Source organism: Homo sapiens, chromosome 8, assembly GCF_000001405.40.
Source record: "Homo sapiens chromosome 8, GRCh38.p14 Primary Assembly".
Taxonomy (NCBI): Eukaryota; Metazoa; Chordata; class Mammalia; order Primates; family Hominidae; genus Homo; species Homo sapiens.
In genome coordinates, this window is record NC_000008.11 from 25,645,731 (window position 1) to 25,665,800 (window position 20,070).

General features: G+C 41.1%; 1 long non-coding RNA gene across 1 annotated transcript in view, besides 1 other annotated feature; it reads left to right on the plus strand.

Moving 5' to 3' along the window:
- LOC107986933 (uncharacterized) overlaps positions 1 to 20,070 on the plus strand; it is a 207,238-nt gene that overhangs the window by 15,599 nt on the left and 171,569 nt on the right. The gene's annotated exons all lie outside the window — the stretch shown is intronic.
- Positions 14,268 to 14,954: an enhancer, noted in NCBI's record as "NANOG-H3K27ac-H3K4me1 hESC enhancer chr8:25517514-25518200 (GRCh37/hg19 assembly coordinates)". NCBI's record gives its function as "activates a minimal SCP1, AML or CMV promoter by ChIP-STARR-seq in primed H9 embryonic stem cells {active_cell/tissue: H9 hESC(primed)}" and the evidence as "EXISTENCE:reporter gene assay evidence [ECO:0000049][PMID:30033119]".

A 20,070-nucleotide genomic window follows, 5' to 3' on the forward strand; every position in this document is an offset into this window, starting at 1 on the left:
CAGACAAGGAGATCCATTCAAAATCTGAAATGCATACCTAATAATGGAATGAGGGCAGGGGCGGTGGAGGGGAGGGGCTGAGCGCAGAGGGTAGCAGCCCGGGACAGTGGCTCTGTGGCCAGCGGGACACCCAAGCTGTGGAGGGGCTGGGCTTTCCTTTGAGGACTAAAATGCTTTGGGTTTGAAAGCACGTTACCCTGCTTGGCAACAGAATCTTGAAGGGGTCGCTTTGTTGGCCCCAAAGGGCACACTCTTCTACTCAGTTTTGTAGACATGAGAGAGCTGCAGGAAAAACTTAGTAGTTTCTGTGTATTCTTAAAGTGATGATAATTTCTTGCACGGGCCTCTGAAGTGGGATTTCAACATGAGTCACTTGCATTTGGGGGCTTTTCTTTTTCTTTTTTTTTTTTTCTTTGGAGACAGAGTTTCCTTCTTGTTGCCCAGGCTGGAGTGCAATGGCGCCATCTAGGCTCACCTCAACCTCTGCCTCCCGGGTTCAAATGATTCTCCTGCGTCAGCCTCCCTAGTAGGTGGGATTACAGGCATGCACCACCACACCCGGCTAATTTTGTATTTTTAGTAGAGATGGGGTTTCTCCATGTTGGCCAGACTGGTCTCAAACTCCCGACCTCAGGTGATCTGCCTGCCTTGGCTTCCCAAAGTGTTGGGATTACAGGCATGAGCCACCGAGCCTGGTGCTGGGGGCTTTTCAAACAAGGATTATTAGCATCTCAGTGTAACACGATGGGTTGATACCTGTATAAAAAATACTAAGGCAAGAACGAGACTTTTCAGGGATGGTCAAGAATATGTAGTGGGTAAGTCATGTTTCTTCCTATGATTATTATTATTTGGTTTGCATTTTTTATTGATATCAACATTCATACATATTTGTGGGGTACATGTGATATTTTGTTACATGCATAGACTGTGATGATCAAGTCAGGGTATTTGAGATATCTACCACCTCTAATATTTATTATTTATTTTTTTTTTTTGAGACGGAGTCTTGCTCTGTCACCCAGGCTGGAGTACAGTGTCACGATCTAGGCTCACTGCAAGCTCTGCCTCCCAGGTTCACGCCATTCTCCTGCCTCAGCCTTCTGAGTAGCTGGGACTACAGGCGTCCGCCACCATGCCCAGCTAATTTTTTTTTTGTATTTTTAGTAGGGATGGAATTTTGCCATGTTGGCCAGGCTGGTCTCAAATGCCTGACCTTGTGATCCACCCGCCTTGGCCTCCCAAAGTGCTGGGATTACAGGCGTGAGCCACCGTGCCCGGCCCACCTCTAGTATTTATTATTTCTATGTGTTGAGAATATTTCAAGTCCCCTCCTAGCTGTTTTGAAATATACAATACAATACTGTTAACTTTAGTCACGCAACTCTGCTGTTGAACATTATAATTTATTTCTTCTAAGTGTATGTTTGTCTCTTTGTACCTGTTAGCCAGTCTGTCTGTATTCCCTCCCCTCTACAGATCCACACCATTCCCAGCCTCTGGTATCTATTATTCTATTCTCTACCTCTGTGATATCAATATTTTTAGCTCCCACATGTGAGCGAGAACATATGGTATTTGTCTTTCTGAGCCTGGGCATCATCTCACTTAATATAATGATGTGCAGTTCCATCCATGTTGCTTCAAATTACATTATTTCATCCTTTTTAATGTGTGAACAGTATTTCATAGTGTGTGTTTATACATCTCACATTTTCTTCATTCATTAGTGGATTGTACATTGTTTCCATATCTTAACTATTGTGAGTAGTGCTGCAGTGAACATGAAAGCGCAGATATCTCTTTGACATACTGATTTCTTTCGTAGATAAACACAGAGTAGCAAGGTGGCAGGATCATATGGTAGTTCCATTTTTAGTTTTCTGAGAAATCTCCATACTATTTTCCGTGGTTGTACTAATTTACATTCCCACTCACAGTGTGTAAGAGTTCACTTTTCTCCATATCCTCACCAGCATCTGTTACTTTTTATCTTTTTAATAACAGCCATTCTAACTGGGGGTAAAATGATATTTCATTGTGTTTTGTTTGTTTTTTTGAGACGGAGTCTCACTCTATCGTTTAGGCTGGAGTTCAGTGTTATGATCTCAGCTCACTGCAACCTCTGCCTCCTGGTTTCAAGCAATTCTCCTGTCCCAGCCTCCTGAGTAGCTGAGACTACAGGCACAGGCTAACTTTTTGTATTTTTAGGAGAGATGGGGTTTCACCATATTGGTCAGGCTGGTCTCGAACTCCTGACCTCAGGTAATCCACCCACCTTGGCCTACTAAAGTGCTGGGATTACATGCGTGAGCCACTGTGCCCAGCCTCATTGTGGTTTTGATTTGCATTTCTCTGATGTTTAGTGATGGGGAACATTTTGTTGTATATCTGTTGGCCATTTGTATGTCTTCTTTTGAGAAATATCTATTCCTGTCCTTTCCCCACTTTTTAGGCATTATTTGTTTTTGTTTTTGCTATTGAGTTGTATGAGTTTTTGTATATTCCGGATATTAGTACCTTCTCAGATGAATAGTTGGCAAATATTTTCACCCGTTCAACAAGTTGTCTCTTCGCTCTGTTGATTATTTTCTTTGCTGTGTAGAAGCTTTTTACTTTAATATAGTCCCATTTGTGTTTTCGTTGCCTGTGCTTTCGAGGTCTTAGGCATAAAATTTTTGCCCAGACCAATGTCCTGAAGTGTTTCCCCTGTGTTTTCTTCTAGTAGTTTTATAGTTTCGTCTTAGATTTAAGTCTTTTATCTAACTTGAGTTGATTTTTCTATATGATGAGAGATAGGGGTCCAGTTTTATGCTTCTGTGTATGAATATTCAATTTTCCCAGCACCATTTATTGAACATGATGTCCTTTCCCCAATGTTTGTTCTTGGCCCCTTTGTTGAAAATCAGCTAGCTGTAAATATATGGATTTATTTCTGGGTTCTCTATTCCATTGGTGTATGTGTCTGTTTTTAATACCAATACCATGCTGTTTTGCTTACTATAGCCTTGTAATATGTTTTGATTCCAGGTAGTGGGATGTCTCCAACTTTGTTCTTTTTGCTCAGGATTGCTGTGTCTATTCTGGCTCTCTTTGGTTCCATATGAATTGTAAGATTGTTTTTTCTATTTCTGTGAAAAATTATGTTGGTACTTTCATACAGATTACTTTGAATCTGTAGATTGCTTTGGGCAGTATGGGTATTTAACAATATTAATTCTTCTAATCCATGAGCATGGGATATCTTTCCATTTGTGTCCTCTTCAATTTCTTTTATCAGTGTTTTGCAGTTTTTCTTATAGAGGTCTTTCATCTTTTTGGTTAAATTTATATTTAGATATTTTAATTTATTGGTAGGCATTGTAAATGGAATTGGCTTCTTGATTTCTTTCTCAGCCAGTACACTATTGGTGTATAGAATAGTGTATGTTAATTTTGTATCCTGCAGCTTTACTGAATTTATCATATCTAAGAGTTTTCTGGTATAATCTTTAGGTTTTTCTATATATAATATCATTCCTTCAATATGAGATCCAAAAATTAAAAATATGTACCATTATATCATCTGCAAAGAGGGAAAATTTGACTTCCTCCTTTACAATTTGGATGCCTGTTATTTCTTTCTCTTGCTTGACTGCTCTGGCTAGGACTTCCAGCACTCTGTTGAATAGGAGTGGCTAAAGTGGGCATCCTTGTCTTGTTCCAGTTCTTAGAGGAAAGGCTTTCAGTTTTTCTCCATTCAGTATCATGTTAGCTGTGGGTTTGTCATCTGTGGTCTTTATTATGTTGTGTTATGTTCCCTCAATAACTAGTTGTTGAGACTTTTCATCATAAAAGGATGTTGAATTTTATCAAATGCTTTCTCTGCAACTGTTGAGATGACCATATGGTTTTTGTCCTTCATTCTGTTGATGTGATGTATCACGTTTATTGATTTGCTTTTTTTGACCCATCCTTGCCTCCTGAGGACTTGATCATGGTGTCTTATCTTTTTGATGTGTTGTTGGATTTTTTTTGCTGTTATTTTGTTGAGGATTTTTGTGTCTATGTTTATCAGGGATATTGGTCTGCAGTTTTTTTTTTGTTGTTGCATCATTGTCTGGTTTTGGTATCAGGGTAATGCCAGCCTCATAGAATGAGTTATGGAAAATTCCCTCCTCTTTAACTTTTTAGAATAGTTTGAGGAGAATTGGTATTAGTTCTTGATGAAAGTTTGGTTGAATTTCACACTGAAGTCATCCAGTCCTGAACTTTGCTTTGTTGGGAGACTTTTTATTACTGATTCAATCTCATTATTCATTATTGGTCTGCTGTGGTTTTCTGTTTCTTCCTGATTCACTCTTGGTGATTGTATGTATCCAGGAATTTATCCATTGCCTGTAGATTTTCTATTTTATTAGTGTATAGTTGTTCATAATGGTCTGTAACTTTTTGTATCTCTGTGGTGTCAGTTTTTAATGTTTCCATTTTCATATCTGATTTTATTTGGGTCTTCTCTCTTTTTTTCTTGGTTAGCCTAGCTGTCTAAAGCAATCTACAGATTCAAAGTAATCCCTGTTTGTTGGTTTTGTTTATCTTTTTTTAAAAAAACAACTTTTTGTTTTATTGATCGTTTGTATTTTTGTTTTTTGTTTTGTTTTTGTTTGTTTTTTTTGGTTTGTTTGCTTTGAGATGGCGTGTTACTCTGTCACCCAGGCTGGAGTGCAGTGGCATGATGTCGGCTCACTGCAACCTCTGCCTCCCGGATTCAAGTGATTCTCCTGCCTCAGCCTCCTGAGTAGCTGCGACTACAGGCACCTGCCACGACGCCTGGCTAATTTTTTGTATTTTTAGTAGGGACAGAATTTTGCCATGTTGGCCAGGCTGGTCTCAAATGCCTGACCTTGTGATCCACCCGCCTTGGCCTCCCAAAGTGCTGGGATTACAGGCGTGAGCCACCGCTCCCTGCTGATCCTTTGTATTTTTTTAAGTCTAAATTTTATCTAGTTCTGTTCTGATCTTTATTATTTCTTTCCTTTTACTAATTTTGAGTTTGCTTTATTCTTATTTTCCTAGTTCCTCAAGGTACATTGTTAGATTGTTCATTTGAAATATTTTTACTTTTTTGATGTAGACATTTACTGCTATAAACTTTCCTCTTAGCACTGCTTTTGCTGTATCCCATAGGTTTTAGTATATTGTGTTTCAATTTTCATTTGTTTTAAGAAATGTTTCTATTTCCTCCTTAATTTCTTCCTTGACCCAATTGTCATTTAGGAGCATGTTGTTTAAATTCCATGTATTTGTGCAATTACTCAAGTTCCTCTTGTTGTTAATTTTTAGTTTTATTCCACTGTGGTCTGAGAAGGTACTTGACATAATTTTGACTTTAAAATTTTGTTAAAACTTGTTTTTGTGTTCTGACATATGGTTGATCCTGGAGAATGTTCCAAGTACTAATGAGAGGAGTGTGTGTTGTGTAGCTGGGTGAAATGTACTGTAAATGTCTGTTAGGTCCATTTGGTCTAATGTGCAGTTGAATTCCAGTGTTTTTTTTTGAATTTCCTGTCTAGACCAATCAAGCTTGTCCAACTCAAGGGCTGTGTGCAGCCCAGGACAGCTTTGAATGTGGCCCAACATAAATTCATAAACTTTATGAAAACATTGAGATTTTTGGCTGGGCGTGGTGGCTCACGCCTGTAATCCCAGCACTTTGGGAGGCAGAGGCAGGCGGATCACAAGGTCAAGCGGTCAAGACCAGCCTGAGCAACATGGTGAAACCCCATCTCTACTAAAAATACAAAAATTAGCCAGGCGTGGTGGCCCACACCTGTAGTCTCAGCTACTCAAGAGGCTGAGGCAGGAGAATTGCTTGAACCCGGAAGGCAGAAGTTGCAGTGATCCAAGATCGCGCCACTCTACTCTAGCCTAGCCTGGGTGACAGAGCAAGACTTAATTAAAAAAAATAAAAATAAAAAATTGAGATTTTTTTTGTGATTTTTTTTTTTAAGTTCATCAGCTATCATTAGTGTATTTTATGGATGGTCCAAGACAATTATTCCAATGTGGCCCACAGAAGCCAAAAGGTTGGACACCCCTGGTAGATGATCTGTCTAATGCTGTGAGTAGGGTGTTGAAGTTCCCAATTATTGTATTGAAGTATCTCTCTTCCTTTAAATCTAATATTTGCTTTATATATCTAGGTGCTTCACTGCTGGGTGCATATTTGTTTAGAACTGTTATATCATTTTGCTGAATTAATCCCGTTATTATTATATAATGACCTTTATCTCTTTGTACTGTTTTGTCTTTCAATCTAAGTATAGCTACTCCTGCTTACTTTTGGTTTTCATTTGCATAGAATATCTCTTTCCATCCTTTTTCTTTCAGTCTATGTGTATGTTTACAGGTGGGATGAGTTTCTTGTAGGCAGTCTAGAGTTGGGTCTTGTATTTTCATCCATTCATCCAGTCTATATCTTTTAAGTGGAAAGTTTAATCTGTTTACATTCAAGGTCGTTATTGGTATGTGAAGATTTATTCCTATCATTTTGTTAATTGATTTCTTGTTGTTTTGTATGTCCTTTGTTCCTTTCTTTCTCTCATTGTGTATCATTGTGGTTTGGTAGTTTTCTTTGGTAGTGGTAGCATTTGATTCCATTTTCTTGCTTATTTATGTGTTTGCTCCACCGGTGGGTTTTATAGTTTCATGTGTTTTCATGATGGTAGATATTATCCCTTTGCTTCTAGGTATAGAACTCCCTTAAGCATTTCTTGTAGGACCAGTCTAATGGTGATGAATTCTGTCACCTTTTGCTTGTCTAGGAAAGACTTTATTTGACCATCATTTATGAAGCATAACTTAGCTAAATATGGTATCTTTGGCTGACATTTTTTTCTTTCAGCACTTGGAATATATCATCTCATTCTTTCCTAGCTTGTAACATTTCTGCTGAGAAATCCACTGTTAGTCTGTTGGGAGTTCTAAGTGACTAGATGCCTTTCTCTTGCTGTTTTTAGAATTGTCTCTTTATCTTTGACTGTTAACACCTTGGCTATAATGTACAGTAGAGAAGACCTTTTTGCATTGTATCTGTTTGGGAATCTCTGAGCTTCCTGCATCTTGATGTCTAAATTTGTTTTTAGTCTTGGGAGGTTTTCAGCTATTATTTCATTAAATAGGTTTTCTAACCCCTTCATTTTCTCTTCACCTTCTGTGATACCAAAAATTTGAATATTTGGTTGCTTTATGGTATCTCATATGTCATGTAGGCTTTTTTCATTTAAAAAAATTCTTTTCTCTGTATTTTTGTCTGCCTGGGTTATTTCAAAAGAACTTAGAGCTCTGAAAGTCTTCCTTCTGCTTGCTCTAATCTATTTTTGAAGCTTTTGCATGTATTTTGTATTTCATTTAATCCTTCAGTTCTAGAATTTGTTTCATTTTTTAAATGACATTTATCTTTTTGGAAAATTTCTCATTCATATCCCAAATTGTTTTTCTAATTTCTTTATATTGTTCTTCTGTATTTTCTTAAGCTTCTTAATATCATTATTTTGAATTCTCTTTTTGAGGTTTCATAAATTTCTTGATTGAAGTCTGTTGCTGGTGAATCATTGTGTTCTTTTAGAGGTGTCATGCTTTTGTATGATAGCTTCCTTCATGTTTCATGTGACCTTACATTGCTGTCTATGCATCTGATGTAAGAGTTGCTTCTTTTGATATTTTGAATTTGCTTTTGTAGGGGAGCACTTTTTTTCCTGAAGATATTGATATAGTGTTGGTTGGATAGGACACATTGGCTTTGATTCTGCGTGCGTGTAGTAGTATAGTCTCTGTATGATTTCTTTTGCTGTAAATAATGTTGGTGGTTTCTGATTTCCTCAATGACTTAGAGTGCAGTTGTTAATGAAGCCTGCGGCAAAGTTTTGCTGGATATGGGAATACTGGGTGCGGGGGGCTGTCTTTGGACCCTAGTGGTGGCAGTGGTGGGCCAAGTATGCCTATCCTTGCGCCACAGGGTAGCATATGCTGGCACCAGTGCTACTGAGTTCAAGTGGGTCAATTCGTGGACCTCCAGGTGGCTTGCTCAGGTATAGGTAGTGCCAGTGGTAGGCTAAGCAGATGAACAGGTTCTCAGGCTCCTGGGCAGCAGGTGTGGCATGGACAATGGCAGAGTAGTTGTGGGACTAACCTCTGGGTTCCAAGTGTTCCATGCTGGTGTTAGTGGTGGCTGTGACAGACCGGGTAGTTCAACCCCCAGGCCCATGGGTGGGTGCCTGCTGTGGTGGTAGCAGCAGGTTTGGTGGGCCCAACTTCAGGCCCCTGGGAGGAGTGCTCAAGTGTCAATGGTGGTGGATTGAGCTGGGTGGTCCCCAGGTCCCCAGACAATGTGCTCAGGCACTGGCAGTGCAGAGCCAGGCCAGGTGGCTCTATCCTCAGGCTCCCTGGTGGTGCATGCATGTGTTGGCTGTGGTAGGAAGGGGTGGGCTGATCCTCAGGCCCAAGGCAGCCAAGTCTGGTGAGGCAGCTGAGCAGGCTGCCTCACTTCCCTCTCTTTCTTTGCTTTAGGTGTTTCCTGTCACTTCTCTGTTGAATTCCAGCGTTCTCTCTTAGATGGTATATTTGAAGTGTGATTATCTTCTCAATACTTCAGTGGTTCTTTATGGAGGAGGCGAGTACCAGACGCCTCTAGTCAGTCATATTGAGGGGCTTCCTTTCTTTCTGTTCTCAATCTCAGGACTCTTAGAACACCTCAGCAGTATGGTCTCACCTTTGGGAATGTCCACAAGAACATCAAAGGATTTGGGATTTCATCCCCTGGTCTATTGCATTCTCTGGAAGGTTCTTCCTCCAATACCAGCATAGATCACCCCTCAACTCCTTCTGGTCTTTGCTCAAGTGGCACCTTCTTAGCAAGGCCTTCCTTGACCACGTATTCAACTTGCAGCTCCCCTTTCCCCTTTCTGGTTTTATTTTTCTCTTTAGCTTTCATCGCCATCTGACATAGAGACAGCTTTCTGTATCTGTAGTTTCCACATCTAGGGATTCCACTGACTGCTGATTGAAAATATTTGAAAAATAAAAAATAACAATTTAATACTTTTAAAATACAAATTTAAAATATATAGTGTAACCACAATTTATATAGCATTGTCAGTAATCTGGAGATGACTTAAACTATACAGGAGGATGTTCATCAATTATATGCAAATACTATGCCATTTTTTAAAAAATTTTATTATTATTATACTTTAAGTTTTAGGGTACATGTGCACAATGTGCAGGTTAGTTACATATGTATACATGTGTCATGCTGGTGTGCTGCACACATTAACTCGTCATTTAGCATTAGGTATATCTCCTAATGCTATCCCCTCTCCCCCCACCCCACAACAGTCCCCAGAGTGTGATGTTCCCCTTCCTGTGTCCATGTGTTCTCATTGTTCAGTTCCCACCTATGAGTGAGAACATGCAGTGTTTGGTTTTTTGTCCTTGCGATAGTTTACTGAGAATGATGATTTCCAATTTCATCCATGTCCCTACAAAGGACATGAACTCATCCTTTTTTATGGCTGCATAGTATTCCATGGTGTATATGTGCCACATTTTCTTAATCCAGTCTATCATTGTTGGACATTTGGGTTGGTTCCAAGTCTTTGCTATCGTGAATAATGCCGCAATAAACATACGTGTGCATGTGTCTTTATAGCAGCATGATTTATAGTCCTTTGGGTATATACCCAATAATGGGATGGCTGGGTCAAATGGTATTTCTAGTTCTAGATCCCTGAGGAATCGCCACACTGACTTCCACAATGGTTGACCTAGTTTACAGTCCCACCAACAGTGTAAAAGTTGTTCCTATTTCTCCACATGCTCTCCAGCACCTGTTGTTTCCTGACTTTTTAATGATTGCCATTTTAACTGGTGTGAGATGGTATCTCATTGTGGTTTTGATTTGCATTTCTCTGATGGCCAGTGATGGTGAGCATTTTTTCATGTGTCTTTTGGCTGCATAAATGTCTTCTTTTGTGAAGTGTCTGTTCATATCCTTCGTCCACTTTTTGATGGGGTTGTTTTTTTCTTGTAAATTTGTTTGAGTTCATTGTAGATTCTGGATATTAGCCCTTTGTCAGATGAGTAGGTTGTGAAAATTTTCTCCCATTTTGTAGGTTGCCTGTTCACTCTGATGGTAGTTTCTTTTGCTGTGCAGAAGCTCTTTAGTTTAATTAGATCCCATTTGTCAATTTTTGCTTCTGTTTCCATTGCTTTTGGTGTTTTAGACATGAAGTCCTTGCCCATGCCTATGTCCTGAATGGTAATGCCTAGGTTTTCTTCTAGGGTTTTTATGGTTTTAGGTCTAACGTTTAAGTCTTTAATCCATCTTGAATTGATTTTTGTATAAGGTGTAAGGAAGGGATCCAGTTTCAGCTTTCTACATATGGCTAGCCAGTTTTCCCAGCACCATTTATTAAATAGGGAATCCTTTCCCCATTTCTTGTTTTTCTCAGGTTTGTCAAAGATCACATAGTTGTAGATATGCAGCGTTATTTCTGAGGGCTCTGTTCTGTTCCATTGATCTATATCTCTGTTTTGGTACCAGTACCATGCTGTTTTGGTTACTGTAGCCTTGTAGTATAGTTTGAAGTCAGGTAGTGTGATGCCTCCAGCTTTGTTCTTTTGGCTTAGGATTGACTTGGCGATGTGGGCTCTTTTTTGGTTCCATATGAACTTTAAAGTAGTTTTTTCCAATTCTGTGAAGAAAGTCATTGGTAGCTTGATGGGGATGGCATTGAATCTGTAAATTACCTTGGGCAGTATGGCCATTTTCACGATATTGATTCTTCCTACCCATGAGCATGGAATGTTCTTCCATTTGTTTGTGTCCTCTTTTATTTCATTGAGCAGTGGTTTGTAGTTCTCCTTGAAGAGGTCCTTCATGTCCCTTGTAAGTTGGATTCCTAGGTATTTTATTCTCTTTGAAGCAATTGTGAATGGGAGTTCACTCATGATTTGGCTCTCTGTTTGTCTGTTATTGGTGTATAAGAATGCTTGTGATTTTTGCACATTGATTTTGTATCCTGAGACTTTGCTGAAGTTGCTTATCAGCTTAAGGAGATTTTGGGCTGAGACGCTGGGGTTTTCTAGATATACAATCATGTCGTCTGCAAACAGGGACAATTTGACTTCCTCTTTTCCTAATTGAATACCCTTTATTTCCTTCTCCTGCCTGATTGCCCTGGCCAGAACTTCCAACACTATGTTGAATAGGAGTGGTGAGAGAGGGCATCCCTGTGTTGTGCCAGTTTTCAAAGGGAATGCTTCTAGTTTTTGCCCATTCAGTATGATATTGGCTGTGGGTTTGTCATAGATAGCTCTTATTATTTTGAGATATGTCCCATCAATACCTGATTTATTGAGAGTTTTTAGCTTGAAGGGTTGTTGAATTTTGTCAAAGGCCTTTTCTGCATCTATTGAGATAATCATGTAGTTTTTGTCTTTGGTTCTGTTTATATGCTGGATTACATTTATTGATTTGTGTATATTGAACCAGCCTTGCATCCCAGGGATGAAGCCCACTTGATCATGGTGGATAAGCTTTTTGATGTGCTTCTGGATTTGGTTTGCCAGTATTTTATTGAGGATTTTTGCATCAATGTTCATCAAGGATATTGGTCTAAAATTCTCTTTTTCGGTTGTGTCTCTGCCCAGCTTTGGTATCAGGATGATTCTGGCCTCATCAAATGAGTTAGGGAGGATTCCCTCTTTTTCTATTGATTAGAATAGTTTCAGAAGGAATGGTACCAATTCCTCCTTGTACTTCTGGTAGAATTCGGCTGTGAATCCATCTGGTCCTGGACTCTTTTTGGTTGGTAAGCTATTGATTATTGCCACAATTTCAGCTCCTGTTATTGGTCTATTCAGAGATTCAACTTCTTCCTGGTTTAGTCTTGGGTGGGGGGGTGTATGTGTCGAGGAATTTATCCATTTCTTCTAGATTTTCTAGTTTATTTGCATAGAGGTGTTTGTAGTATTCTCTGATGGTAGTTTGTATTTCTGTGGGATCGGTGGTGATATCCCCTTTATCATTTTTTATTGTGTCTATTTGATTCTTCTCTCTTTTCTTCTTTATTAGTCTTGCTAGTGGTCTATCACTTTTGCTGATCCTTTCAAAAAACCAGCTCCTGGATTCATTAATTTTTTGAAGGGTTTTTTGTGTCTCTATTTCCTTCATTTCTGCTCTGATTTTAGTTATTTCTTGTCTTCTGCTAGCTTTTGAATGTGTTTGCTCTTGCTTTTCTAGTTCTTTTAATTGTGATGTTAGGGTGTCAATTTTAGATCTTTCCTGCTTTCTCTTGTGGGCATTTAGTGCTATAAATTTCCCTCCACACACTGCTTTGAATGTGTCCCAGAGATTCTGGTATGTTGTGTCTTTGTTCTCGTTGGTTTCAAAGAACATCTTTATTTCTGCCTTCATTTTGTTATGTACCCAGTAGTCATTCAGGAGCAGGTTGTTCAGTTTCCATGTAGTTGAGCGGTTTTGAGTGAGTTGCTTAATCCTGAGTTCCAGTTTGATTGCACTGTGGTCTGAGAGACAGTTTGTTATAATTTCTGTTCTTTTACATTTGCTGAGGAGAGCTTTACTTCCAACTATGTGGTCAATTTTGGAATAGATGTGGTGTGGTGCTGAAAAAAATGTGTATTCTGTTGATTTGGGGTGGAGAGTTCTGTAGATGTCTATTAGGTCCACTTGGTGCAGAGCTGAGTTCAATTCCTGGGTCTGTCTCATTGATCTGTCTAATGTTGACAGTGGGGTGTTAAAGTCTCCCATTATTATTGTGTGGGAGTCTAAGTCTCTTTGTAAGTCACTCAGGACTTGCTTTATGAATCTGGGTGCTCCTGTATTGGGTGCCTATACATTTAGGATAGTTAGCTCTTCTTGTTGAATTGATCCCTTTATCATTATGCAGTGGCCTTCTTTGTCTCTTTTGATCTTTGTTGGTTTAAAGTCTATTTTATCAGAGACTAAGATTGCAACCCCTGCCTTTTTTTGTTTTCCATTTGCTTGGTAGATCTTCCTCCATCCTTTTATTTTGAGCCTATGTGTGTCTCTGCACGTGAGATGGGTTTCCTGAATACAGCACACTGATGGGTCTTGACTCTTTATCCAATTTGTCAGTCTGTGTCTTTTAATTGGAGCATTTAGTCCATTTACATTTAAGGTTAATATTGTTATGTGTGAATTTGATCCTGTCATTATGATGTTAGCTGGTTATTTTGCTGGTTAGTTGATGCAGTTTCTTCCTAGCCTCGATGGTCTTTACAATTTGGCACGATTTTGCAGTGGCTGGTACCTGTTGTTCCTTTCCATGTTTAGTGCTTCCTTCAGGAGCTCTTTTAGGGCAGGCCTGGTGGTGACAAAATCTCTCAGCATTTGCTTGTCTGTAAAGTATTTTATTTCTCCTTCACTTATGAAGCTTAGTTTGGCTGGATATGAAATTCTGGGTTGAAAATCCTTTTCTTTAAGAACGTTGAATATTGGCCCCCACTCTCTTCTGGCTTGTAGAGTTTCTGCCAAGAGATCCGCTGTTAATCTGATGGGCTTCCCTTTGTGGGTAACCCAACCTTTCTCTCTGGCTGCCCTTAACATTTTTTCCTTCATTTCAACTTTGGTGAATCTGACAATTATGTATCTTGGAGTTGCTCTTCTTGAGGAGTATCTTTGTGGCATTCTCTGTATTTCCTGAATCTGAATGTTGGCCTGCCTTGCTAGATTGGGGAAGTTCTCCTGGTAATATCCTGCAGAGTGTTTTCCAACTTGGTTCCATTCTCCCCATCACTTTCAGGTACACCAATCAGACGTAGATTTGGTCTTTTCACATAGTCCCATAATTCCTGGAGGCTTTGTTCATTTCTTTTTATTCTTTTTTCTCTAAACTTCCCTTCTTGTTTCATTTGATTCATTTCATCTTCCATCACAGATACCCATTCTTCCAATTGATCACATCGGCTCCTGAGGCTTCTGCATTCTTCACGTACTTCTCGAGCCTTGGCTTTCAGCTCCATCAGCTCCTTTAAGCACTTCTCTATATTGGTTATTCTAGTTATATTCATCTAAATTTTTTTCAAAGTTTTTAACTTCTTTGCCTTTGGTTTGAATTTCCTCCTGTAGCTTGGAGTAGTTTGATCGTTTGAAGCCTTCTTCTCTCACCTCATCAAAGTCATTCTCCGTCCAGCTTTGTTCCATTGCTGGTGAGGAACTGCATTCCTTTGGAGGAGGAGAGGCGCTCTGCTTTTTAGAGTTTCCAGTTTTTCTGCTCTGTTTTTTCCCCATCTTTGTGGTTTTATCTACTTTTGGTCTTTGATGATGGTGATGTACAGATGGGTTTTTGGTGTGGATGTCCTTTCTGTTTGTTAGTTTTCCTTCTAATGGACAGGACCCTCAGCTACAGGACTGTTGGAATACCCTGCCGTGTGAGGTGTCAGTCTGCCCCTACTGGGGGGTGCCTCCCAGTTAGGCTCCTCGGGGGTCAGGGGTCAGGAACCCATTTGCAGAGGCAGTCTGCCTGTTCTCAGATCTCCAGCTGCATGCTGGGAGAACCACTGCTCTCTTCAAATCTGTCAGACAGGGACATTTAAGTCTGCAGAGGTTACTGCTTTCTTTTTGTTTGTCTGTGCCCTTCCCCAAGAGGTGGAGCCTACAGAGACAGGCAGGCCTCCTTGAGCTGTGGTTGGCTCCACCCAGTTTGAGCTTCCTGGCTGCTTTGTTTACCTAAGCAAGCCTGGGCAATGGCGTGTGCCCCTCCCCCAGCCTCGCTGCCGCCTTGCAGTTTGATCTCAGACTGCTGTGCTAGCAATCAGTGAGACTCCGTGGGTGTAGGACCCTCTGAGCCAGGTGCGGGATATAATCTCCTTGTGCAGCATTTATTAAGCCCATCGGAAAAGTGCAGTATTAGGGTGGGAGTGACCCGATTTTCCAGGTGCCGTCTGTCACTGCTTTCTTTGACTAGGAAAGGGAACTCCCTGACCCCTTGTGCTTCCTGAGTGAGACAGTGCCTCACCCTGCTTCGACTCGCGCATGGTACACTACACCCACTGTCCTGCACCCACTGTCTGGCACTCCCTAGTGAGATGAACCCGGTACCTCAGATGGAAATGCAGAAATCACCCGTCTTCTGCGTCACTCACACTGGGAGCTGTAGACTGGAGCTCTTCCTATTCAGCCATCTTGGCTGCCTCACTATGCCATTTTTAAAATTATTTTTTGTACAGACGGGGTTTCGCCATGTTGCTTAGACTGGTCTTGAACTCCTGAGCTCAACTGATCTGCCTGCCTCAGCCTCCCAAAGTGTGGGGATTTCAGGTGTAATTATGCCATTTTATATCAGGGACTTGAGCATCTTCAGACTTTGGTATCCATGGGGTTCCTGGAACTGATCCTCCACTGATACTTAGGGATGACTGTACTCTGTTTTTTACTAATGTATTTGTTCATCATCTGTGTCTACCACAAGAATATAAGCTTCATAAGAGCAGAGAGTTTGCGGCCTTTTGTTCACTATTGTGTCCCTGTGCCAAGAATAAAGGAAAGAATACAGGAACCCTCTCACCCCTGCAAATATTTTTCCAAAGATTGTGTGTCTTACTGGTTTCTCAGACTGGTTTGTGTTTTAAAACTATCTATATTTAATTCTTGTTTTTAAAGTGTCTGTAGTTGACAGTTCTAACAGTAAAACATTTTAAATTTTTATGATTGATTACAGCTCCGTGTATCTTTTCTTTTATTTTTCTTTTGAGACGAGGTCTCAATCTGTCACCCAGGTTGGAGTGCAGTGGTGTGATCATGGCTCACTGCAGGCTCAATCTCCCCATGCTTAGGTGCTCGTCTCACCTCCTGAGTGGCTGTGACTACAGGTGCATGCTACCATGCACAGCAAATTATTCCCTATACCTTTAAAAGCACTTCTGCACAGGTCACCTCTTTCTTTAGTTTCCCTCTGTAAAATTGGATAATAAACCCTGTTTCATGGCACCATTGTGTGAATTAACTGAGATGTTGTATGTTTTGCATGCAGTAGGTGCTTAATAACACCAGTTCTTATTATTTTGCATCTGAACATCAGAAAAATCCTTATAAGAGACACAGAGCAGGATAATAAATTATCCACATCTTTTACATGAAATAACTACAGTCAGAGGTGTTAAATGAGTTGCCCAAAGTCACCCAATGAATCAGTATAGGCAGCGGCTCTAAACTATTGCCTTGATGGAAACCCTTATTCTTGGTTTTTATTTATTCAGAAATGAAGCTAACTAAAAAATAAATTCTATTCAATCTCAAAAATCTAAAGAGGGGCTACTATAATGGTATTGGGGAAAGAGGTAGTTTTAAGAATATGCAGTGGCAAATGTTTTCCCATCTGAACAAAAAAGATATAGTCACATCTAAGCATCCAGGACAAAGCTTTGGGTGTCTCCGTATCATTGACCTTTTCTCGACTCCTCTCTATCCTACTCTTGAAAGCATGTTATAGTGAGAATGATGGGACACTTTCGTGTGTGTGTGTGTGTGTGTGTGTGTGTGTGTGTGTGTGTTTTTCATTTTTTCTTTTTTTTTTTTCCTGAGACGGGGTCTTGCTCAGTCGCCCAGGCTGGAGTGCAGTGGCGTGACCTTGGCTCACTGCAAGCTCCGCCTCCCGGGTTCATGCCATTCTCCTGCCTCAGCCTCCTGAGTAGCTGGGACTACAGGCGCCTGCCACCACACCTGGCTAATTTTTTTTTTCTTTTTTTTTTTTTAGTAGAGACGGGGTTTCACCATGTTAGCCGGGATGGTCTCGATCTCCTGACCTCATGATCCACCCGCCTCGGCCTCCCAAAGTGCTGGGATTACAGGCATGAGCTACTGTGCCTGGCCAATGCTTTTTGAAATTTCTGTTATTTATAGGAAAAAACCATTTGCAAAACTTGGTATACATTAACAATAACAAATTACTCTCCTCATATACCATGGTGGACCACAGTAGACCAGTATCCTAAGGCCATATTTGAGACTACAGATCCACGCCAGGAGACTAACCCCCTTTCCATTCTCTGGGGTTGCAAAGTCATCCTCACCTTGAATTTCCTCTCAGAAATTGACATGTGGAAGGGACAGCACAGTGGTGAACCAGCTCCTCTTCTGGCAGTTAACACTGCTATCTCTCCACTGACTCAGAACTTGATAACTCCTATAATGAGGAAATAAAAGAATTAGACTAACCTTTCCTTAGAACTGTCCTGGTTTCTCTGCCCCCTTTCCCCAGGAGACACTTAATGACAGACATGTGAATTTGGAAAGACCATTTTGGTTGTTCCTTTCCTTCTCAATTACAGATTTGTTCCTTTGGAATGTTTCTGGAAGGTTTATCTCACCCCACTTTAAATGCACAAGTCAGTGGGACTTCCCTGGATTTCTCTTGGGAAGTCATTCTGACAGCTGGAAGGTCTCTCATGATCAGCAGACAGTAGCTCCCTCTGTTTAGAATTAGCTTAGGAATAGGGAACATGGGGATGGCATTCTGAATCTGTGATGTGATTGGCATGTGGGGGCCCTGGCTGACGAGGACTGATCACAGGCTTCCTGTAGCTTGGCATGGTGGAGTGAGCACGGCATTTGGAGTCGGGGTCTGGGCTTGACCCACACTTCTACCCCTAACCACCTGTGTGTCTTTTGAAAATTGCCATGCCTTCACTTTTCTTACCTATAAGACAGGGTTAATAATATCCACTTTGCAAGACTGTTTTCAGGAGTGAATAGTATATATTTGCAAAAGCATCTTGACCATGCTGTGGGACATCAGAAATGGGGCTAGGGGAGAAGATCTGCCTACCTCCAAGAAATGTGAACCCTGGAAAGCCACCTGTGTATTGTGAACTTCCAGATAAAAGTGAGTCTGTAGGAGGACAGGAAGGTCTACAGGGAAGAAGTGGGGGCTGCTGGACCACGATATGTTGGCTCTAGGTTCAAATGGCAGCTCTGTGGCTATGGCTGTATTGCCTGTGAGTGGAAGTGCTGTTAGGCCAAGGGAGAGGATTATGGACAAAGGACAGGGGTCTGTTGCCAGTTGTCATGTCCATCCGTAGCCACCATGGAATGCTGGAAGGTGAACATGAATATCCCAGGCCTGTGTTTGAGATCCTCCCTCAGGGACCAAATAGGAGACAAGTAGGGTGAAAGCGAGAGTTTGAGTTTGTAGCTACATGCAAATTGGCCAAAGCTGGATAATGGGGCCATACCACAGGGTGCCCTGGGAGATTAGAGCCAGGCTGGGCTTTCCCACACCAGTGGGTCCCAGGGGTCCTTTAGCTACCACGTTTAGTATCAGAGGAAATGGGATATGCATCCTGGATAGGGAGCCCCAGAGAAGAGTGGAACATCAAGACCCAGGGAGGAGGCTGACAGCTAGACACAGGTCCATGGTGAAGGGCTGGGTAGGACAGAAAGAGCAGGGCCCCCAGGCAGAGGGCGAGGCCTTTGCTAGTGGTAAGAAATGGGATCCGGGGTTAGGAGCCCACTGAAGGGTGCACAGGAGGAAGGGGACTGTGGCATTGGCTGCATCACATAGGACTAATGGGATTAGAAGTAGACATGGATAGGCTTTCTCCCTTTTCTATCACCTATGTCCCTATCTCTCCCTTCTTGCTTCTCCCGTCATGTACTTGCAGCAGTCCAGGGGCAACTTCTGTTGGCAAAATGCCTTTTTCCTTGGAAAGTCAAGTGTGACAACAAAGATGGAGTCTAGGACAGCTCTTCTCCATCGGTGTCCACAGAATGTTATGTAAAAAAAGGAGAAGGGTTATGTCAAGTTACGATCCTGCGAGCTAGGCAGGGCAGGGTCTCCTATCACCATTTAGTAGTGAGGACTTAAATTAGCTACCTAAGCTTACTCAGTTGGTAAAAAGGCAAACCTGGGTTTCAAAGACAGATCTCCTGGCTGTGGATCAATTGAACTCTTCGGGTAACTGTCTATTCACAGCTGTGTCTCTAACCTGATATGCACAAGGTGAATATGCACATATATAGATGTCCACACTCCACCCTCCCAAAGTCATGGAAAAATGAAAGCTTTAATAAATATGGTTGTAGATAAAGGAACAGCTCATAATGACATGTGAAAGCAATTCTGTTAACAATTGAAACAAATTATCTATATGACTTTGTAAGATGACATGTAATGATCATAGACAAAAAATGAACTAGTCTCAGAATAAAAGCCCTTGTCAGGAGAAAATTCACTGCTCATTATGGGATTGATCGTAGACTGCTTCTTTCCTAATTTAAACCTAACTCTTTAAAATTAAAAATTAGAAGTATGTGTGGAAAGAGAAGTAGATTAAGAGCTAAGAGACCTGGGTTTTCATCCTTGCTCTGTGGCTAATGAGCTGTGTGACACTTCGAAGTGACTCAGTCTTTGAATCTTTGTTTCTTCATTTGAAAAAAGAATGGGTACATCAGATAATCTCTAATGTCCTTTTCAGTGCCAAAATATTGTAATAAGCTTTTTTTTTTTTTCTTTGAGAAAGGGTCTCAGTCTGTCACCCAGATGGGAGTGCAGCGGTGTGATCATAGCTCAGGGTGCCTTCAAGTGATCCTCCCACCTCAGCCTCCTAAGTAACTGAGACCACAGGCACCACGATGTCTGGCTATTTTTTTTTCTTCATTTTCTGTAGTCATGGAGTGACACTGTGTTGTCCAGGCTAGTATCAAACTCCTGGGCTCAAGCGATCCTCCCGCCTCAGCCTCCCAAAATGCTCAGACTACAGGCATGAACCACCATGCCCAGCTAGCTAATGAGCTCTTTAACAGAACTCATAAACATGTCTAGAATGTGTATTTTTATCTTTACTATGATCACAAGCACCTGCCAAGGGTCTATTTGCATATGCATTATCCATGTTAGCATATGTCCCTTTTGTGGGAGGGGGACTGCTCCTAGGCATGGCTTGGACTTTTGGCCTGGCTCCAGTCCCTCCTTGCTTTTGCTAACCCCTTCCTCTCTTGGGGAGTAGAGTCCTACCCAAAGTCTGCATCAGGGGGTCTACACCCTCCAG